The sequence below is a fragment of the Homo sapiens genome, chromosome 7 (genome assembly GCF_000001405.40).
Source record: "Homo sapiens chromosome 7, GRCh38.p14 Primary Assembly".
Classification (NCBI taxonomy): domain Eukaryota; kingdom Metazoa; phylum Chordata; class Mammalia; order Primates; family Hominidae; genus Homo; species Homo sapiens.
In genome coordinates, this window is record NC_000007.14 from 80,801,982 (window position 1) to 80,826,510 (window position 24,529).

At 33.7% G+C, this 24,529-nt stretch overlaps 1 protein-coding gene across 3 annotated transcripts in view; it reads right to left on the reverse strand.

Annotated features, from left to right (window-relative positions):
- The window catches only part of SEMA3C (semaphorin 3C), a 179,852-nt gene that overhangs the window by 59,444 nt on the left and 95,879 nt on the right, over positions 1-24,529 (reverse strand). For all 3 annotated transcript variants that reach the window (NM_001350120.2, NM_006379.5, NM_001350121.2), the window contains 5 exons: positions 16,318-16,437; positions 8,630-8,720; positions 3,658-3,777; positions 2,125-2,267; positions 684-798 (listed from right to left, as the gene is read on the reverse strand). In NM_001350120.2, the coding sequence (NP_001337049.1) occupies positions 684-798; positions 2,125-2,267; positions 3,658-3,777; positions 8,630-8,720; positions 16,318-16,437 (589 nt within the window). The remainder of the gene's footprint in view (positions 1-683; positions 799-2,124; positions 2,268-3,657; positions 3,778-8,629; positions 8,721-16,317; positions 16,438-24,529) is intronic.

Sequence of the window (24,529 nt, forward strand, 5' to 3'; positions counted from 1 at the left end):
GAATGACCATTATTTTACCTTCTAATGAATTAAGGTGAAAGAAAAGTCATTTACAAATGACATTTAGTAAATATGATGTGCCCTGGGATATTCAGATTAAAAAAATAAAAAAACTGTTCCTTGGCAGAGGGAATCAGACTGTCAGTCCTTATTCGACCTGGAAAGTGTAAGCCTCCTCATGTCACATTGAGAATATCTAATCTCAGAGTCACCAAGCAGAACTAAGAAGGGAACACAAGTCTCCAAATTTCTACTCTGACACTTTTTTCCATCCAAACTCTATCCTGTCCATTAGCTACAATAGTAAAAATATATAGCTGTATTTTCACACAAAATCAGAATATTAGATATTCTAATATACATGAAATAAATATTCATTTATAAAAACACAAACATATCATTACCTATACACACATTATACAAGTTACACCCCCAAACACACACATTCATTCATATATTATGGTGAATTCAATGAGCTAAATGTTTCAGCAGTGCACTCATGGGCGTAACAGATTACAAAATACTTAAGAAAATTTATGAACAGTATCTAGATAATTATTTTAAATTAGCATATTATTTATGCTGAAAATATGGAAAGTACATCTTCTTTTGAGACCTTATTTAAATATATAAACTTTACAAGCCTTCTTTCAGAAGCATTTTTCAATCTCATATGTATGTACCTAATTCATCAAAGTGTGTTTCTGGGCCGTCTTCATCTGTTACCGAGCACACCAGCCTCGCCTTTAAGAAAGTGGTCCACTTGTTGACAAGGCTACGCAGTCCACCAGTGTCATTCTAAAACCATTTTGTAAACATAATTCAGATTGCTTAAGTAAATATTGAAGCACATTAAAAATTCGACTTGTACTCTAGTTGCTTGGAGGATGAAAATCTGAAGAATGGATATGTTAACCACTTCTGCACATCAGTTGTCAAAGAGGAATATTTATGACTTATAGTATTTTATACAATAGTTATACTATTATTCTCTTATAGCATGATGTCAGCTGAAAATACATTTATTTGATAAATGTGTGACATAATTATTTCTAATTTTAACGATGTACAATGGAAGTATTTATATAATGTTATAGAAAATAGATCATTTAATCTGCCTTTCCTTGATAATTTATTGTCTTCAATTTGAACATAAATTATTATACACAGTGAGTTTTGCAGATTGTGGTCAGGAGAGTGATTATATCTTTACACAAAATGGTCCCCAACAGTTTTACATTCACTCCTTCATTTATCCAAATTATCACATAATTTTCAGTATTTCTAATCTGATGCCTAATTATACATTATAAGGAGAAATGGCATTTGGATCATTCACAAATAGTCTCCAGTGAAGACATTTTCTTCCTGTGTCCAAAGGCCTTTTACCCCTTCTGCTGACTTCGCTGCCTTGTTGCAAATGACTGAGAAACAGTTGAGCTCCATGATCAGTGGAGTATTATAATATATAAACTATTTTAAACACTAAGCACTTTAAGAAACATTTTTTCACAAAGGATGCTAATCATAAATAAGTCAGGATAAGTCTGTAAAACTCTATTATAGAAAGGACATCACAAATTTTCTTGTGTTGCTATGTATACTTATTGTTTCTACACAAGAGCATTTTGGTTACTGTTTTTAATTAGAATTTTATTAAAGCTTTTCTTAATTTTCACTATTTATAAATGGTTCCTTAATAATCATCTCTTACTGAGATATTTACTGTATTTTATTGACAACAATCAGTTTCTTTAGGTAATATGCAATTTAGCTATTGGTTTGAATACCAATGCATTAAATGAATATGCAAAAATTTGTCAGAAGTGTTTATTTGTTCAAGAACAAAAACAAAATATTTTCTTGAATTAAGATTTTTACTAAAATAGGGTATGTTTATCTCATATAACTTATTGAGGGTTAGAATTTGGGTTGGGGTTATAAACACTATATTCAATATAAAATGATGAATATTAAATATAATAATGATGATGAATAAATGTTACATTAAATGCTTCCCTCAATATTTTATTTATTTGTAATGGTTGATAATAAAAGCACGGAGATAAACCATAATTTGAATTTCTTGGTCTTTCTTCAAATCGGAACAGCATTAATACTTACAGGACATATTCGAGCAATCATGGAATGAATCTGTTTCGTGCTCCTGTTATTGTCAGTCAGTTTTTCTTTGAAGAAGAAGTACACCTTAGCATCATTTGGATCAGTACCATCTGGGATGACATGTGCATCTACAAACATAGGTTCTAGAAAAAAAGGTAAAAGACTAGGTATATATTCATTATGAAAATCCATCTTCTGTCATCCAAGTAGACCACAGGCAGATGCCTTCCCCATCTTTGGTAGAAAAAAACAATTCAACATTTACAGGCACATTTCTAAAAGCAGTAATTGCATTCACACACCATGCCACATTTGGAATGTCGAGTACCACAGGAAGTGCAGGAAATGTGAAAATTATTTGTGCACCAATGAGTTTCAAAAAATTGAAAAACTTTTCTACCAGTTATTTCCTAAGGAATCTGATGGCTATTTTATTGAAAAAAAATATTTATTTTTCAAAGTATGTTTTTCAATCTAGCACATATAAACTCAAATTTGTTGAAGCAGAATGAGGAGTTGGAAGTCCAAACTCTGAAAAACATGACTTTTCTTAAAATGCAACATACGAAATGAAGGGGAAACTTTTCAAGGAAAAACAGCGTCATTAGTCATTTGGAGACATACAGGGTTTCCTTATTTCAAGAACAAAACAACTTTTAGAATATTCTATTTCCAGATGTACTGGAGGAATAATCTGAATAAGTAAATGAACAATCAATGCTTTCTTGTGCTGGCCTATCAGCGAAATAGGATGCTTCACTGTGGTGATTCATGCTTAACTCTGCAATGTTAAATGAATTGCCACATTTAGGGTCAGCTAAAAATTTTCTCCAGGGTGAAATGACAAGAATCTTCGTTTTTTGTTTTTGTTTTTGTTTTTTTAATTGCTCTAAACAACAGCAATTGATTGGAATAATACGGTAAACCAAATGAGCACCTTTTTTGATGTGAATTCCATATGACTCCAAGAGCTGGAGGCAACTGAATATGGATAATCATAGTTATCATTCCTATGATTTCTACTGAATATTAGTCCATTTATGAGAAAATACATACCAGTTTTGTAATTTTAGAATCTAAGTATAAAACAAAAAGAGAGGAGGCCCCGGCTATACTCTGTTCATTGCATCTCAATGTCATACATTTGGGATAATTTTTAGATTTGGTATTGTTAAAACATACAAGCAGATTAAATGAAGTAAAAAGCATATTTAATTGCAATATGTTACAATTAAACAACTGGAGAAGATGCTTGGGTACTGAAATATAAATTATCACTGTCACTTTTATTTATTCATATTCATATGATAACTGTAGGATGATTAATAGAAATAAAGAATCGAAATATGGACTATGAGCTATTCAATTGTTTATTTTCCCCGAATATTTTAAATCATAGGGTACAGAATTACCATTATTCATGTAATAGCCTGCTATTTTAGTTTTTAACCATTTTCCCTAGTTGTTAGGATAGAATTAAATAAGTTAGTTTAACACGATACTAAAAAATAAATGCATCAAATGCTTTCTTACCACTTAGCCATTTGGAATTATGTTGATCAGTTCTGACCGCATTCCTCTTGGTTAAACTTCGAAAAATAGCAGCATCTGTCCCCATGAAATCTATATACATTCCAGAGAAAAGCTCCTCATCTATGAAAAAGAAAATATCAATGAAATGTAAATTTTTAAAGCTATTTTGAAATTCTAGGTGAGTTTATTTATTAGGAGATCACCACAGGTATTACAGTGTTATGATAATTGGTTATAACAAATATTAATTGGTTTGCATTGTCCAGCAAATCAATAAATTTTATAAATTTTAATCTTTTCTCATTATTGCCTGAATGATAATTACTATGTTTTTTAAAAAATCAAACCTCAAAACAACTTTATTCTATGTAAAAGTGAGAGTTCCTCTACCTGTACTTAATTATACTATATATTAATTTTTATATAGAGTCTATCAGAAATGGCAGACGTATAATAGATAACAAAATAGCTTAACTGTTTACCTATAATACATTTAAAAGAAAAACACTGTAAGAGTCAGAAAACATGGTTTCTAACTTTGGTAATCCCTAACAAGCTGGGAACTAGTGCTAAGCTATTGAACATCTAGAGTCTCAACCTTCTAATCTACAATGTATGGGAATTAGATTATGATCTTAAAAGTTCTTAACACATATTAAAATTTCTAAGATCATCCTAAATGGATTGAATATAATAGTTTTAAGAATTATTATTATGACATGACAAGGAGGCCACATTATAACTGTCAAAACATTATCAGTGACTAAAAAATGTAATCACTAAAAGTACATATTTTGATCTTTAGTGCTAGAAGTTTCCTGGTAAGGTAAACAAAGTGCTACTTTTTCAACTGCAACTCAGCCATAAAAATAGAATACGATAAGAAAGAAAAGATACTTAAAATTAAATAAATTTTCACTATTAACAGAATCAGATGTATTAATCTATATATACATAACATTCAACATTTACCTTATTGTTTGAAGATCCATATTACTTTTCATCTAGTAAGGAGCAGTAAGCATTGAATTGGTAACAAACGTGACCCCTGAGTATAAAACAGTAGCTAAATATCTATTATAAAAAGCATGAAATTTATCAGCCTGGCCCACTGAACTGCCATGCAGCTGCGTTCCTTGACTGTTGTTCTAGGATTACTCCCTGGGCTACCTTCAGACCGTGGTCATTTTGGCAGGATTGGAACATTTCAAAGTACTCTAAGCTCACTGTTTAGTAATAAGCAGTACCAGTCGGCCCAGCATTGAATGGAGAATGGAATGTATCTAATATGTGCTCGCCAGGTTATGAACTGGACCCCTACCAGTTAGCAAGCTGGTGTGGCGGGCATTTTGTTGCTCAGCTCTGCTTCCTAGTAGGGGTTCTAGGCCCAGGGAAACAGATTATAGGGAGATAACAAAAATGTGTATGAAGGCTTTTTTTTTTCTTTACCATTTTAGCTTCTTTAAAATTCTAAGAACATTTGTGAGGCTTATATACACACAGATCTAGCTATTAAATTGTGGCAACTTTGTAAATAATTATTTCACATTTTTGTATATTCAATTAACCATTAAACTGTGGATTATACATTCCTGCTGTTCAACAGATTGATTGGCACAGCTATCAATTGTCATATCTGTTTTCAAGCAGAAAAAGAAAAAAAGATACTAAGAAGTTAGTGTATGGCAGAGAGGGCTAATTCTAATCCTACTTCATACCACCTTATTAGTCATGTCTCAAACATTACATAAGCCTGCACATCTAATTGGCTTCATTTCCTATCTTAAATTCGCAGTAATTTTAACAGCAAGTAAGGAACTTTCTGCTTCATTTTATATCAATAAGAAATTTTTGATAAATGTCACTTTGGTAACAATCTTGAGAGGATTTTTTGCATGACCTTATGCAGAAATAAACTTGTGCCTTTTAGCTTTATTTCAAAAACATTTTGCTTTCCAACTGTATTTCTACTGACTAGAAAAACTTCATAAAGTTATGTAGGCTCTTTAAAAGATAACATCTGACTTCGTTGTTGCCTACAGCAGTGACTGAAAATAGCAAAAGCACACTGAACTTGCAAAACTACATCATGAAATTTGGAATTCTAATTCTTCAGGTTTCTGGTCATTTAATAGATATAAATATCTTAAGCAATCTGTGCTTTTATTAGCACACTGCGCTTGAATGGAAATGATAAAGTACTATTACATGGTTAAGGGAGATGACCACAGAAATCACAGGAGATAATTTGAGAGGGATAATCAATTGGATGAATAAAATGATAACTACAATCTTATAAAGCTTTTTGTTCTTTTTACTGTCAGTTTTCAAGGCAAGCAAATTGTTTAGTGACTTTCATTTGATTACAAAATGTAAAGTTACTCAAATGTTAAAAGTAGTATAGGAACATGAGCATAGGAATTCAACTCTCAGGTCCTTGAAAAACAAAGAAGGCCAATGTCTAACTCCTATTTTGGAAACAAATCCAATTCTCTAAGGGCAAGACTATTAAATGACTTAAGATAATTTAGCAAGAAAATTTATAATGCCTTGTTCTAATCCTTATTATTCTAAAGAATATTCAATGAGATAAAACTCCAGTAGCAGCTATGTGAACAGATCCTTGAGGTTTATTTTTGCAGCATTTAAAAGGAAACAAATGAAAACTATATATATATTTAATTACTATCAAACACACCACATGGTTTCTGAAGGTGAATAAAGTTTCCTTCCTAATGGAGAAAAGAATTTCCAAAACACTGCTTCTATTAAATATTTGGAAACATGCCTTGCATAGGTCATAATTGGATAACTTTGTAGTTTCAAAGCTAACTTTATGTCCTAAATGATATACTTTTGGCTCCTCCCTGTCCGACTTGAATGCCGATATTCAAGCAATTCACTGAATAACTTCCAAGGTTTACCTGTCTTAATGTAATTTCCAGATATGAGAAAGAAAGATGAGTTATCTATTTAAATGAACCAAAGCAAGCATTTTGAACACAATAATTATTTTTTACCTGTTCTATGGTTGAAAGATGAAATTTTAATGCTGGCAATACATTAAAAAAAAGCAAAGAGGAAAAGACGTCTACTATACGTATGACATACTAAAATCCAACATTTGTTACTTGGTCAACACATGACAACTCAGAGACAGAGTTTCACTCTTGTTGCCCAGGCTGGAGTGTAATGTCGTGATCTCGGCTCACCACAACCTCTGCCTCCCAGGTTCAAGTGATTCTCCTGCCTCAGCCTCCTGAGTAGCTGGGATTACAGGTGCACGCCACCACGCCCGGCTCATTTTTTTGTATTTTTAGTAGAGACAGAATTTCTCCATGTTGGTCAGGCTGGTCTCGAACTTCCAGCCTTCGGTGATTCACCCACCTCGGCCTCCCAAAGTGCTGGGATTACAGGCATGAACCACTGTGCCCGGCTAACTCAGACATATTTTTAAAGTGTCTCAATCAAAAGAGAATGTTGTTTAAGTGAGTCATAGGTATTCAATGACTGAGGTTTAAAAATCGTCTTGTCAATGTGTGGATCATTAAGCAATTAGGCCCGCTGCTTAACTGATATTTTGTGTAAAGTGAAAAAATGAAAAAATAGCTTTATTACCATCTCCTTTTTGGCATAGCAATTTTTAGACAATCCACAGAGAATGAACTTGGCTAACACGTGCACTTTGTTCATCTTTCCTTTGAAAAAACACCCCTTTAACCATTTCTAAAAGATTACTAAAACACAGGAGTGCAGACAACTCTTTGACATACTGGTTTCAATTCCTTTGGATATATACCCAGAAGAGGAAATGCTGGATCATATGGTGATTCTACTTTTAGTTTTTGGGGGAATGTTCATACCATTTCCCAAAATAGCTGTACTAATTTACATTCCCACCAACAATGTACACAATTTCCTCTTCTCCATATCCTTCCCAATGCTTGTTATCATTTGTATTTTTGATAACAGCCATTCAAACAGGTGTGAGGTGGTATTTCATTGTCTATACTCCCATGTTCATTTCAGCATTATTCACAAAAGCTAAGACATGGAAGCAACCTAAGTGTTCATCAACATATGAATGGATTTTTAAAAACATGGTACATATATACACGATGGAATACTATACAGCCTTAAAAAAGAATGAAATTTTGTCACTTATGACAACATGGATGGAACTGGAGGACATTACACTAAGGGAAATAAGCCAGGCACAGAAAGACAAATAAGGTGTGATCTCACTTACATGTGGAATCTAAAAAAGTTGATCTCATAGAAACAGAGGGTAGAAAGGTTAATTATCAGGGGCTGGAGGACAGAGGGAGGGGCAAAAAAAAAGATGTTTATCCAAGGAATCAGTTTTAGTGATCTACTATACTGCACAGTGACCATGGTGACAGTAAATAAAATTTATTGCATATTTCCGAATTGCTTAAAAATAGATTTTTAACATTCTCACCACAAAAAAATACGTGGGCGAGGTAATGGATATGTCAATTGGCTTGACTGAATTCTTCCATTATGTATACATAGATCAAAACACCACATTGTATCCTATAAATATATACAATTATTATTTGTCAACTAAAAACAAATAAAAAATAATGAAAGGTAAAGAAAAAAATACTAAAACATGAGAAAAAGTGGGTGTAGTTAATACTACAAACAATTACAGAAAACACTGAAAACTACTTTATGATAATATATAAGTATACATATACACACTTATAAAAAATGCTTGGCCTACTCTGGGAATGACAAAACTGTCATAAGTTACATGCTTATTATTTAATCATAAATATTCTTACAAATGAGAAACTGAACTCTCTATTTCTCAGCTCACAACTTTCTTCATATTATTTTACTCACATACTATCATCCACACAACCATCAAGAATAGGTATACCATGTCAAGCTAATTTTCCATGTTATTTTATGTTTAATCCTCCCTCTTTCGTTGTCTACTTACTGATCATAACAGACACCGTGTTCACGTTGGGGTTGAAAGAGCAGCGTCCTTTTCCAGATTCACACTTGGAGTCAATCATGAAAACTTGGTCCTTTATTGTAGATAAAATTTAAAATGTGGCAATGATAACTTATTTAGTGAAGACAATTGTTCATTAGTAAAACAAAGCATCATTAAAATTAATATGCTTTCTAGTTGGTTGCTTATTATGCCTTCCAATTTACTACATTAAGATTTACTCAAACTATGAGAAGAATCGATCTGTAATTACAAGCTAACCTCAGCAGGGCTAGCCCTCTTTCTATTGCACTCCCCAGAGAGCTGATCCAAGAAGTCGTTCTCCTCAAATCAACATCAGCAAAAATCACTTGAAAACCAAGTATTATTATAAATCTCAACTAGATGCGTTGAACATCAGCCAAAAGAAGAAAACTGTCCACAGAGGAACAATCTATGTAAGGACTATACTATTTTCAAAATAATTAAGATTTTTTTAAAAATAGCATTTTATGTTACTGTTTAATTTTATCATATAAAGCATTGTACAAGATTCAACAAAATAATTCATAATTCATATTTAAAATGTGTCATTTACTCATGACTTTATTTAACAAAAATTCACTGAGCATCTGCCATGTACCAGAAACTGACTAAACACTGGGGATATTGCAAACAAAATACACTAAAATCTTTGTCCTCAAGTAATTTATAACCTAGTAAGAAAGGTAATAAATAATTAAAATATGGAAATATGGAATATGTTAGATAGTGCTTGCTACTGAGAAGGAAAGTTAAGCAGGAAAAGGGAAGAGAGAAGACTATAGATTGGGGGCAATAGATTCAATGGTTTTAGCCTCACCAAGAAGAAATATCTTGTCAGTATAAATATGTACCTTTTTCTTACATAAAGTTAGTACAAGCCCCCTACCAAAATTCAAAGTAAAAAAAAAATGACCATTTTAATAAGGTCAAATAAGATGATAAGGAATCTTAATTATCAAGCTAAGATTTTTGAAAGTTATCCTGAAAGAAATATGAAGTCAATAATATTTTTGAGTGTGGAAATGGAAAGATCAAAACCTTGCCCTAGAAAGTTGGACTTTATCTTGAGCTTTAAGGAGATTGGGAATGAAATGTATAAAAACAGGCACTGCATTCAGGAAAATTGGTTAGTTTCCTATTACAAGAGTCCAGAGATTAGGAGGTAATAATCTGACATGGCATGTTTTCAGTGGTCAAGGTAAGAGCAGCAGAGATGTAAGAAAATTTATATAGTCGCAATCAACAGAGGTGGGCATCAGTTATAATTCAGTGGTTCTAATTTCATTGTACTTGTTGTCCTTTTCACATTGCCTCCACATCCTGAAAGGATACATCTATTACATTCTCTGTACATGCCTCCAAACTACTGTTTTGTAAAAGGTAACCTAAAAAGGTAAATCCAAACAACTATATATTTGTGATAATCAATCACAACCAATTTCTAATTGATCATACTCAGGAAAACAAAGATGATTCTAAAGTTTTGACTCCTTGAAAAAATAAAGCTAATACATAGTTGTTTGAGTTTCTATACTACTGCAGGACCTCCCTAAACATAATAGAGAATAATAGAGCCTAAAAAGAATCACAGTCCTCCAGCCTAAAAAGGTTCTTTCTGAGCATCCTAAGATCTTCATCAATGAAGTCACTCTACAGGTGATGAAAAAATATGACTTGTCCAGAAGACCACGTAGTTAAAGGCTGATAATAGCACAATTTGAATTCAGTCTCCTGACTCCTAGTGAATCCGATTTCCAAAAGATCTTCATTCATGTAACCACTAAACTAAATCAATAATCATAAACCAGAAGAAAAACAAACAACAAAAAAAATAGTAAGCCTTGTTGCGGTTCTAGAGCTGGAGACTGATTTGACCAAATAAGTGAGAGTTCGTCTTGCAGGAATTGGTAAGGTTGTTTAGGTACCATTTGCTCTCAACTGACCTACTCCTACATTGCACAGCACTCTAGATCTAGATCACCCCCACCAGGAGCAGATGTGGTCTACCTAATAACTATCTCAAGCACCCTGAAATAATTCCTAAAACTTGTCTCCTGAGAAATCTTCTCTGTTTCTCCCCAGTTCGTTAGGCTTTTCTCTTTTTGACTTTGATTGCATGTTTTTGTTGTTGTTGTTGTTTGTTTGTCTTTTAAAGACAGGGTCTAGCTCTGTCACCTGGGCTGAAGTGCAGTGGTGCGATCTCGGCTTACGGCAACCTCCACATCCCAGGTTCAAGCGATTCTCATGCCTCAGGCTCTGGAGTGGCTAGGACTACAGGGAAGCACCACCACGCCTGGCTATTTTTTGTATTTTTTTTTTTTTTTTTTTTTTTTAATAGAGACGGGGCTTTCGCCATGTTCCCCGGGCTGGTCTAAAACCCCTGGGCTCAAGTGATCTGCCCGCCTTGGCCTCCCAAAGTGCTGGGATTACAGACATGAGCCACTGTGCCTGGCCAGATTCCATTTTTAATTTCAATAAATTTTTTAATTTCAATAAATTTTGACACAACATTCGATTCCTTGAATGTATGACTTTTTTCATTGCATCCACACCCTAAAGGAATACATCTATCTACATTCTCCATACTTGCCTCCAAACTACTAAACATTTTGTAGAAGGCAACCTAAAAAAGTAAATTCAATACATTACAGATTTGTGATCACCAACCACAAGTGGATCCCCTACAATGTACAGTGGCCTTTCAAAGATTCTCTTATCACAACTGGTTCTGTCATCAAAAATTTCAGGCCTTTGCCACTAAAGCCAAATCCTGATTTTTCTGATCCCCTAACTTATTCTCAACTCACATTATTGCTACTTTGCAGAGAAAGCAAAGCCCTTAAATGATATATCTTCAACTCCTCACTACTAAACACACAAATATCATATTTAGTAATGTAATATTATATTGATATATCCACTAATACATGAGACTAGTTCTCTTACTTTGAGGCCAATTCTTTGGATTTCATTGCTTTGGATTTCATCTTATCTCGTCTTTTTAGGCACCTTAGATTTCCATTATTCCTTGTGTTTCTTTGATACATACTTTCATCTTAATAATTGGAGGCTTTATGCCATTATTTAAACAACCCCTTCAGCTCCCATATACCATTCTCCTTATAAACCACACTTCTCAGGGAATTACGTACATCCTCACCACCATTTTCTGACTTGTCATTTTATTTTCAATCCACTTTAATTCAGCGTCTAACGTCAATTATTGCATTGAAACACTTATTGATAAGATCTTTAATGACAATTATGGTACAAAACTCAGTGCTTATTTTTTAGACCTCATTTTACTTGGATTCTCAATGGCGCTTGGAATAGTTGAAAACTTCTATGTTTTTACAATGACTTATTTTTATTTCCCAGAACCAACATAGTCTTTTTTTCCCCACCCCTCTTTCTCTGTTCCTTTTTTTTTTCTTTTTTCTTTTTTTTTTTATTTAAGACAGAGTCTCGCTCTGTCGCCCAGGCTGGAGTTCAGTGGCCACGATCTCAGCTCACTGGCGAGCTCCGCCTCCCGGGTTCACGCCATTCTCCTGCCAGCCTCCCAAGTAGCTGGGACTACAGGTACCTGCCACCACGCCCAGCTAATTTTTTGTATTTTTAGTAGAGATGGGATTTCACCATGTTAGCCAGGATGGTCTTGATCTCCTGACGTCATGATCTGCCCGCCTCGGCCTCCCTAAGTGCTGTGATTACAGGCGTGAGCCACCGCGCCCAGCCCTGCCTGTTCTTTTTAGGCTTGTTTGTAAGTTCATGTTCCTCTAATTGGCCATTAAAGTTAGGAGACCCTCAAGTCTCAACCACCGTCATTCTTTTCTTTTTACTCTAACTCCCTCTCTGCATAATTAAATCCACACTTTTCTTGGGCTCCAGTTACTCTTATAAAACAATGACTCACACGTGTATATACTCAGTCTTATATTTAACGGCCTACTTGATATCACTAATTGGATCTTTCCATGGGATCTCTCATTCAACAGACCAAACTCAGGCTTATAATCTTTACCCTATACATGGTCTCTTCATTCTCATCTCAGTTCATGGCAACTACACAATTAAAGAGGCTGAAAATAACAAACAAGAAAAGTGTCAGCATTTATATCATTTCCTTTTCCTTATCCAAATCCATCAACATCATCTATACTATTTTATACTTCATACCATTTTATACTCTCTGTCACCATTGCTATCACCTGAGTACAACGATCTCTTTTGTGGTCTTCTATGTCAACTCTCAAACTAATCTCCTACAACTTTTCCACCCCCCACGCACCGTGCCACAAATCATCTGTTACCTAACACATAAGTGACAACACAATTCTGTTCCTGCCATTTTCTGCTGAAGATTGTTCCAATTTACTTCTCTGTTGACATATAAGTAGCCTTTAAAGCTTTTAAGGTCTTTAAAGCTTTAAAGTAGCTTCAACATGATTTTGATTCTGCTTTTATTCTCATTAAATGAATATTTCTGGATTGAACAATGAGAGAAAATAATAGAGAGTAGGTGGTGAAAAATTAAAAAGTAGGCATAGCAAAGTGTCCTATGGTCACAGACGTCAATAAAGGCAATGAAAAATACAGAGCATGAATGGTGGAATTTAATGTCACAGATCGTTCTAGGAGAAGGGATACAAAATGAGGGAGTCAATTTGGTCACTGAGGAATCTGCCATTAATTAAACAGTTTTAGTTAATGTGTAGGAGTGAAATATTAGAAAGGATGAATAAAGGCATAGAGATTAGGAGCACAAAAGCTGGAAATTCAGCCTCCTACTCTGAGAAGCTTAGTAATGAAGTAAAAGAGAAAGGAGAAAATTAGAAAAAAGAAGTCACAGAACCAAAAAAAGGATTTTAAGGGAAAGAAACCCAATCCTTTCTTTAAATGGGCAAAAAAAAAAAAAAAAAAAGTAAATGTAGAGGAAAGGGAATGAAGATATAAAACAGAGTGATGAAGGTTATTTATCAAAGAACTTAATACAGAAAATGTATAATTTTTCTTCTGAAACAGAAAAAATCCTACAAAAAGATACTGAAACAGACTAGATTGGTGGCAAATTTCATTCAAAAAGCATAGGGGATAATTTTGATACCTATGACACTCTTGGTCACCTGTGATATTCTTGGTCAGTCTAAGGTAAAGTTATCTGCTTGATAAGGGTCAGGGTCAGGGGAGCTTAATTGGTATCTGGGTGTTGAAACAGATGTTATGAAAACATCTGATGAAATCAAAGATAAGATGTGGTAATATTCCAAGAATTTGTTGCAAAATTAACCAATCACCATTTTTGTTGATGTTTTATTCATTCATTTAAAGTCATGATTCACTTGTATTGCTTTATCTTTTTCCAGGAACAGAAGACAAGGAGTAAAGATAGTAGACACAGGAGAAGAACCGTGGTTAGGTCTTCATGTAGCAAGGATTCCAGGCTCTTTAGGTGAGTGAGTACTGTTGAAATCTCAGAAAGCTCTGAATCAGTCTCGCAAATAATAGAAGAGAAATGGGGTATAACAAAAGCATGTGATGCTCCAAACACGAAGTAGGCTCATCAAATATTCCCCTAGAACCAATGAATATCTATGAACACAGACCAATGAAGGATGGTAGGTAATGTCCCAGATATAAAACTGAATAATTAAAGTAACTCTGCCAACCTAACTTGGTTCACCTTCTATTCAAAATTAGGTTTGAATAGATGAAAAATGTCATCTCTTAATAATAATACAAGAGGGTCAGCAGTAAGTATCACCCATGGTCATTACAAAATACAATCTTAGTGATAGAGAAGAATTCTCTCAAAATAAAACTTTCTGCATCACGTGGTCATTTTATGCTAGGAGATCTTTTATCCTAAACTAAAAGAAAACAAATCCATTGTAAGATTGATTAAACTGTGTAGTTCTATATTTACAATATGGCTTTTATACTACAAATATATAAAAGTGATGTTATGGTGAAACTCTCCGACTAGAGTGAACTATCAAGGACTACATTTTATAAAGCTTAAAAATCATAACCCTGTTCATACCTAAATTGGCTCTTAAGATGTTCACGTATTATTTCAGAGATTCATTAATGAAACTGCTTCTCCTTTGAAACGTATCTTTTGAAGTGAGACTAAAGTAGTTCATATTTAGCAAAGTGATTAAAATGTATTCCATGCTGGTTTTCCAAAGGAGATTATTTTTTTGGACAGAATTTCCAATTAAGCTTTGAAGTGCATAGTGGGCAATTCGTACATGGGAAAATAATTTTATTTGAAATCTGTGCTCTGAAAATGGCTATGCTATTGTTGGCCTGTACAGTGACTGCACAGACTTCAGGGAAGTGTCTGACAGATTGCAGACGTCTAAGGCAGTAGTTTACTTAATCAATTGATCACAGGCATGTGGTTTTAATGACAAGCTCAATGCAGCCAACTGTATTCTTCCAAAAAGCATAACTTTACTTTTCCTGTAAGAATTGTAATATTTCATAGCATCTTGAACCACATTAAAAAATGTCTCATTTTGGGGTCAAATTATAATTAGTTATTTTTAAATGACTTTTTATTCATTAAAAGATACTTATGTATAAATTACATGTCTGAAAAACAACTTAAAAAAACATTGTTCAGTCATATTAGAACTAAAATAGATTAATCCTTGTTAAAGGAAAATAAGCTTTAGATCAGTAGACATATTTATTTTTTTCAAAATTCTAATCTCTAAAATCAAATTAAAATATTATTTAAAAACTGGACTTTCTATATTTAAGTTGCATAATAAAACCAAACCAAGTTTGAAAATTCAGTTTTTAAAATAATTATGTTAAGTAAAACAACATGTTTGACTAAAAGAATGAGTAGTAACTCTCTTGGTGTAATGTACTTTCCTTAGTCAACAGCTGTGGACTGGGATAACAAAGACAGGCTTAAGTAGCACAGGTGAAGTTCAACCAGCCTCATATTTGACTATACATTAGCTATATATTTGACTAGTGTTTAGCAAACATCATACCATAATGCCGCATATCACCTTAACTAATTTAAGAATAAGGCTGGAATAGCCTAATGTAGGATGATGTTGGTCTAAGATAAAAGTATGATTTGTTAATTACATCAAGTTCTTTTCAGCAGACACTTGGCATCCCACTTTATACATCTTTTACAGATATATATTTATAAAATTTTATTGAATTTGAAAGACAAGAAATTACACTAGATTTGAGAAGGTTAAGTTTATGCTACAATATTTCTATAATTTGGAGCAAATATTATTACTGTATTACATTCAAGTAATCTTGAAATTATAACATTTTTCTTTCATCTTTTACAGCTTTACAAATAAAATAGATATACTAAAAATATATACATATACACTAAAACTATATAGTTGCCTCCAACTAAAAGTATACACACACACACACACACACACATATAATACACATAAAAATATATATACTTTTTTAGCTGAAGGCAAAAGGTGATACTTCAAGTAACTTGGCAGACAGGAAAAAATGTAATATAGTTTGTATTTAAAGGGCATGAAAATATTTTATGAATATTGATATGTCCAAGTTTTTACTCTAAAATACAGTTTCAAAAATCCTTGACACTAATATCAAAACTAAGAATGTTAAATAGTTATACTTACCTCTGATCTCCTCCCTCTGTTCAAGTAAGTACAGACAGGACTGAAAGCGCCACTCCCACAGACATACAAATGTGTGCGATTGAAAGTCTGAATTACACGGACAAAGTTCCCACAGCCGTGCTAAAAGAATCAGTAAATAAGCAGTTAGTAACTCAATGACTTTCATTGTTATTTCAGTTAGCTATGTTAACCTGAGATCTTGTATGATAAGTAACAATGAGGTGACATAAACTTTTGATGTATTAGTCCAGGGGCGTCCAATCTTTTGGCTTCCCTAGGCCACACTGGAAGAAGAATTGTCTTGGGCCACACATAAAATACGCTAACACTAACAATAGCTGATGAGCTAAAAAAATAAAAATAAAAATAAAAATCCCCCCAAAAATCTCATGTTTTTAAAAAGTTTACGAATTTGTGCTGGGCCACATTCAAAGCTGTCCTGGGTTGCATGAGGCCCTTGGGCCACAGGTTGGACAAGTTTGTATTAGGCCATATCTTTGGGGAACTATTAGTATATTTGCACCTCTTAAAGGTAATTTGAGAGTACTTATCTAACTTGTAGAAGTAACAAATCAAATATTAAGAAAAACAGTGGCTCAGGAATAGTCAAAACATTATTACAGAAACAGTCAGTCAACAAACATTTACTGATTACCTACTATTTGCCAGGGTATAGTCAAATTCTCTGGGCATCCTTACTGAGAAAAACACAAAAATCTCTACCCTTGTAGAATGCAATTGAACAGAGTTGTCATACATGCCCTGCTTTTTCTATTTCTGTTTTAATCTGGACTAATTCTAATACTTCATTTGAAAATGCTCTCAAATTTATACATATCAATGCAAATATTATTTGGCAATACTTTGCTATACATTTTCCTTTCTGCTCCATTTTTTTATTGTTAAAAGACGTGTTTCCAGAAATATTAAAACAACATGGCTTATTCCACTGATTTATTTCAAGAGAAATATAATCCACCGCAGATAGTAAGTAAAATGCTATATTTCATTATTCTTGTATTACAACACTGTCTAAATTTTTACATCCTGAAACTTTATAAATGTATTCTTTACCTGAGAAAGTTTACAAATTAACACACAGAAGTTATTTTTCCTTAAGTTTTCCTTAAAACATTGAACACACACACATTATACAAACATGTTCTGAATGCACCTGTGCCTATACAAGTTCCATATTACCATTAGTGCACAATGGCAGACACTATTCACCTTAAGAATTGGCAAATAAAACTAATCTCCAACAAAATGCCAGCATAATGATTGCCTTCTATGAGGAATGACATAATCAATCTCTTTGCCCTGGATCTCCTAAAATACTCCTTTCTTCTCTTGTAGAAACTCCTTTCTCACTTGCTCCCAGTTCAAGTAAAGGCAAGGCTGTCATTTATTCACCCAATGAAACAGAATAATTATTGTAATTCTCAATTGACTGTGACCTTGCTGGAGCACAGAAACAGTCAGCCCTAGATGCAGATCTCTGTGACCAAATTAACCACCAAATGTTCCACAGTTACTAGCTTCACTATCCTTTGCTGACTATAATTCAATCAAGCCTGAGATTGAATGACTTCATGAAGTCATTCTCTCAAAGAACATTAATAAAATGATTGTATATTAGAGACAGCATTTTTATAAAAAACTATAAAGAAAGACATCAAAAGTTAACAGTAATTTTTCCCTGGGTGGTCAGAAAATATATGTTGCTTTTCCCCCTGCTAGGTACCATGTATGCTCCTTTTTTTTTTTTTTTTTTTTAGAGACAGAGTCTTGCTCTGTTGCCCAGGCTGGTGTGCTGTGGCGTGATCTCAGCTCACTGCAACCTCTGCCTCCTGGGTTCAAGTGATTCTCCTGCCTCAGCCTCCCAAGTAGCTGGGATTACAGGCATGTGCCACCATACCCAGCTAATTTTTTTTTGTATTTTTAGTAGAGACGGGGTTTCACTGTGTTAGCCAGGATGGTCTCGATCTCCTGACCTCATGAACCACCCGCCTCGGCCTCCCAAAGTGCTGGGATTACAGGTGTGAGCCACCATGCCTGGCCTCTCCTATTTTTTTATAAACCATATCTATTATTTATATTATTTAAAACTAAAACAAAATAAATGTTGCTAAAATAGAAGTTAAAATTAAAGTCAATATTATTTTACATTTTCCATCATTTTTTCCTTTTATATTCATTATTACTTGCCAGCAAATATATACTTTTATTTATGCAGTAATTTTATACAGATGTTTCTATGATAGATTTTTATTATTAAATAATCAATCATTAACTCTAGTCAAAGAAATTAATCCTTATAGACCAGACCATACACTTTATTTTTAAGACATTAAGGATTTTTGTTAAATACACAGTGTCATTTTATCTTGACACCTGTTTATAGAGGTACCTGGAAATTGATTACATAACTACAGATGATAACATGTTTCTGAAGAAAACACACAGATGAGATATGTGTGTTTATAATATGTCTATGTAAAGGGAATCTATGAGGAATGAGACACATGCATATTTTTTTCACATTCAAGTTTAGTCATTCTGGGATTCTGTATACAATATTTCCCCATAAGATATAAATAATTCAATCCAATTCCTTTAATAACAGGTTATGTCTCTCTCATCTTGGGTCTTATGGATGTCAATGTACTTTCATGAATTACTGGTATTGGTAAAATGAAAGAAGTCAATAACATCTCGTTTATATTTCAAATGCCAACTATACTCATTTCATGTATATATCTATCTGCTTATTATGACTAATATTTATTTAGAGTTTATTACATCCTAGACTGTGAAATAATCATATTGTATATTTTACCTTTTATTTTTACCTCTAGAAAGTTTGATTTTTACCTTTATAGCTGACATTTATTTAACACTTACTGTATGCTACTTAGGCACTTTACACATATTCATTCAGGTTTTTACCATAACTCAGTCCCTTTTAGAAAAATAAACTTGAGTTTTTTAAAAAAATAACCTGTTTGAGACCATATAGGTAGTAACTAAAGCAGATTTACAAACACATACGTCTCTAACATTGAATCCTGTACTTTTAGCTGCTTTATAATTTGTCATTGGACGAGAAGTCCACAGTTGTTTTTTTTTGGGGGGGTGGGCGACAGAGTGTCGCTCTGCTACCCAGGCTGGAGTGCAGTGGTGCGATCTCTGCTCACTGCAACCTCCGCTTCCCGGGTTCAAGAAATTCTCCTGCCTCAGCCTCCCGAGTAGCTGGGACTACAGGCATGTGCCACCACGCCCGGCTAATTTTTTGTATTTTTAGTAGAGACGGGGTTTCATCATGTTAGCCAGGATGCACAGTTGTTTTTATAAGTTAATACTGATATAACTTTTTAGTTTTTGTAACATTTATTAATATTCACAGAGCTCTTAATCCTTTGATGTCGATTGCTTAATTCTCATAACAGTGCTCCAATTTATCAATACTCCATTTTAGTGATGAGGAAATTTGAGTCCCAGAGAGGTTAAATAAAGAGTTCTAGTTTTAATAAGTAACTAAACTGGGACTTGAACCATGGCCACTCTCCACTGTGCAGCTTTTCTATAAGATTCTGATTAGCAATGAGCAGATTCCCACACTATCTGTTGCTCAATGTGCTCCCTGCCCCTCCCCACACACAAGACCACAAAAGGAAAAACAATTCAGCTGAGTTAACTATTGAAAATGATTATCCAGGTTCTTTCCATTTCCATTGTGCTGCCTTCGTTTCTGACCTAGACTACTGCAATAGTGTCAATTCCATCCTGCAAATATGTGCTGAAGTCATTCTATGCGAGGCACTACATATGGTACTAGCAACAGTGGAATGAATAGACTCAATCAATGCCTGCTTTTAAAGAAAGGAGAGCATAATGTATCAGGCTGTGGTAGATACTGCAATAGGACTGTATTTTTAAATGTACCGTAGAAGGAAAGAAAGGCATTAAGTAATGCTGATCTAGGGGTAAAGATTTGAGTAGAGGTGACATTTGAGCTGAGTCTTGCAGAATAATTTAGAGATTTTCACAGGCAAAAGCATAAGGAAAGAACATTTCAGCAAAAAAAAATAAATAAATAAAAATAAATAAATAAAAATAAAAAAAAAACAGCATGAACAGAAACACAGACATGAGAGTGCAGGATTTACTTGGGGACTAGTGCCTAGAAGGGTTAGAGGATAACTGTGTGATGAAATCAGAGAGGTAATTACAGTTGGTCTGCCATCCTACCATAGTCTTCAGATAGGCAATAGAGAATATTGCAGAGAAGACAGAGTAGATTTAAGTATGCAGGTCTCAGAGCCAGATGACCTAGGTTTAAACCTTGGCTTCATCTTTTACTAGCTTTCAGAACTGAAGACAGTTACTTGGCCTCTGGATGCTTCAATCTTTGCATTCCTAAAATGGCAATGGTAATACTTGTCATGGACAATATATTAATAAAGCAGTAGAAATCATATCTGGAAAATAATACACACATCCAACTGTCCAATATTAGATTTGTTTTATTTGCATTTTAAAATTGACATTGTCTCTAAACCCGGTGAAATGGTCAGGGCATCTGTCCTGCATAGAGCTTAGTGCAGGTCCTGACCACAGTAAAAATCCACAAAAAGTTTGGAGTATGAATGAAGCCTTAGAGACTTCAGCGGAAATAAATATGATGCATGCTTTCTTTTCATTGTTTAATTCTCTTTCAAAATGATTTCCTGGCACAATGTTAGTGAAATATAAAGCTGCTAACATTATACAGCATATAATAAAATTCTATTTTTATACACATTTATGTCTATATAACAAAACCCTGGAAGAATATACCCTAAATTGTTAAGAGTGATTATGTTTCAGTAGTGCAATTTACTTTCTTTAACAGCGATATAGCATTAACTGTGTACTATGCACTGCTCTAAGCTCTCTGCAAATATTAACTCATCAATCCTCTTAACAACCCAATAAGGTTAAGTGCTACGGATTAGCACATTTCACAGATAAGAAAACCAAGATGTACAGAAAGTTTAAGTCTCCAAGGTCGAAGAGCTAATAAGAGATGGTTTATTTTCTGTTGCTTTCTATGTACTTTTCTAAGTCTTCAAAGATTGTTGTATTGAAAATATATTACTTTTATAATATAAAAATAGATGTTTAAAAAATATATCCTGGAGCACAGGTGAATAGGCCTTTAAAAATATTGACTCATTATGGTCCATAATCTGCAATGACACAAAAATACTTCATACTTTCTTCTTCTTGGTCTATACCTCCTTGATCTAGGGAAATGAATCAAGGTATTTTGAAAAAGAAAATATATTTTTTAGGAGCTTAGGGTTGTATGGTCACAGAAATAGGGAAACTGATATTCTACAATTAATAAATCAAGTTTGACACCATGTGCATGTAATGTATATATATCTAAATATATATAATCCTACTTAATTTTTCAACCGTCTCCTATAGTATTTACATAGTACATCCATTAAGCCCTATTTCATGGATATGTTTGACAGCATGTGCTATTGTTTAAGCTCAATTTATTTAGAGTATGAATAAAATATTAACATTTAGAAATAAATGGAGCATGTAGGAATGTGAGTACATAGGGGCAGAGAGAGAAATGGGGAGTAGGTTATATTCTTTTTAGCCAAGGCAGAAAATCCGACCATGAAAATTTATTTTCTTTAAAAACGTTAGTTTATTACAGAATTATGCTGTATTACTACCTAAGACCAAATTTTAAATCACATTAAATTTTCTTCTTATAATTGTTATCTTGTTATAACGTCAATTAAAATTTGATACAACCAAAAAATCTGAAGGATTAAGGGATGCTTAACTCTGTTTTATTTTTGCTTTCAGTTGTTATAGCAGTATGGATTTTAATTGCTAACACTTTATGTTTTGCTTAGATGATTAACAGAGCTAAAAGCAGAAAGTTTTAGCTTAATGAAAATATACTTCTAAAATATATATATAATAAATGCACTACAAACATAATTAATCTAAAAGCATTAATAAACTCATCATCTACTGTGTCCTACCCGCAAGCCCTGACAATCAGTTGGAACGAGTTCACGTGCTTGTATGCACTGTGACCTGAAGGGGTGAGTAGATATTTCCCAGGCTGAAAACACCGGAAGATAATTGAAGGAAAAGAGAATCAATTGCATGCAGCACATACCAAAGGCTGGAAGAGAGAGAGGGTACAACTTTTTCGAATTTCAGTATCATTGAAATAAAAGGTTAACAGAAGTTCTAATATGATTACTACAAAATCTATCAAACCTTTCTTAAATAACCCAGCTGTGCTTTGTGTGTGTCCCTTAGCATTTATCATTTTCTCTCTGGAGGGATAGCATGTTTTAGTGGCTAAGGGTACAGAATCCAGAGCTGTATGTGACTTAATCAGACAAAGACCATCCCACTTCACAGCAGCACAGCTTAAGTTTCTCACTTTCTTAGTAATGCAGTTATTTTATCTTAGAAATACAGGTGGTGACAATAATGTCCACCTTGCAGTATTGTTATGAGGATTAAAATAAAGCACTTAGAACAGGACCTGGCGTGTTCCATTAAATGTTGGGTATTTTTTCTGAATATCAGTGTATATATGTCTCACCATATCTAGCACATTGTAAAGACTTAAATGTAAGGACTCCATCTAATTCACCTCCAGTTTCTTCACAACAACTAATTTGTGCAAATTGAAAGAATTCCTGTATTTTAAAAATATTAGGTTATTAGATAGTATTTATTCCAACTTTTAAGAAGTTCTTAAGTATGTCGTTTCATTGAGAAATGTAAGAAGGATAGGTTGTTCTGTACAACTTTCAAAGATCTATTTCACATTATTTTTCTGCTACAGGACTTTTTTTTCCCATAGCCTAAGTAAAGGACACTTCTATAAGTATTTCACATGTATGAAATGGGATGGATTTGTCAGACATTCTTTTCTTGCACAGACCAAACATGTATTTTTTGATTAGTATTTCCCAGCACTCAACAATGTTGTATGGACAAACAAAACCTGTCCAGCCGAGTCCTAAAAATACATAGGAAAGAGCACTCCATTAGATATTTCCCTTGTGTATAACTGGCCATATAGTAGAATTTAAAATATCCACAAATTACAGCATGACAAAACTATGGGAAAATGTCAGCATGTATTGAAGATTTTTATCTAATAACGTTTAATTGTCAGAAAGCAAAACAAAAACCCCAGAGGGTTTCTACTTTGACAAAGGAAGTAAGAAACCAAATGACTTGTCTAAGATTCTTCAGAAACTCGGCAGCAATTTTTGGAAATAGAATGTACAAAGGTACCTAAATTCTGCACATTCTGCCTATGGCAGTTCATATGAATGAGAAATGCAAATCCTTTTGAACAAAGGACAATGCAATTCAGTATAGCCACGGGATATTATTGTGGCAAAAGGCAAGGCATGATCAGACACACATCAATGGGAAAAAAATCTCATTAGAGAATAAAAGAAAACAGTTTAATTCATCCACAATTATTAAAATAATAAGGAACAAAACATCATTCTCTGCAACATTATACTTCATTCTACCATTGGTTTCCTGGAATGTCATTGTAATGTATTTGTTTAAGTGTTTCTTCTACATTTTTCTGGATTTTTTCCCCCAAGATTGTGGTCTAACAGATCCCTTGGATAGCAAATATGCCCCTGCAAATTTCTCCTGCCCACTTTTAAATTTTTTTATTGGATAAATCACTCCAAGAACCCTCTAGCAAGGCCAGAGATCCTACCCTCCAGAGTCTTCCATGGCCCTGCCTTGAGCCAAAAACTTTTGCAACTTTACACCTGGGGCTGTTAGGAGTCAATGAAAATAAATGTTTCATTTCCTCAATCCCATATTTCCACTTTCCACAGGATTAGTATTTTTCCCATGTTCGGTCTTGTCTGATCCATCTCTACTTCCAAGACTCAGGGCAGTCTTCACTCCTGAAATCAGCATCTCTTGACCCTACCACAAAATAAATGCTTAGACAACATTTTTTAACACTAAGGTGGTCTATTACTTGTTATGACCTGAGACCTGAATGTATGTGTACGTGTTGACTCGTCTGTCCACCCAATTACCATATTTCCAGCTTATTTCTAAATTAGTTTGTATATCTATGCTCATTTGATTATGGCAGACTTTTCTAACAAGGTAATAAAGTTGACTGGAG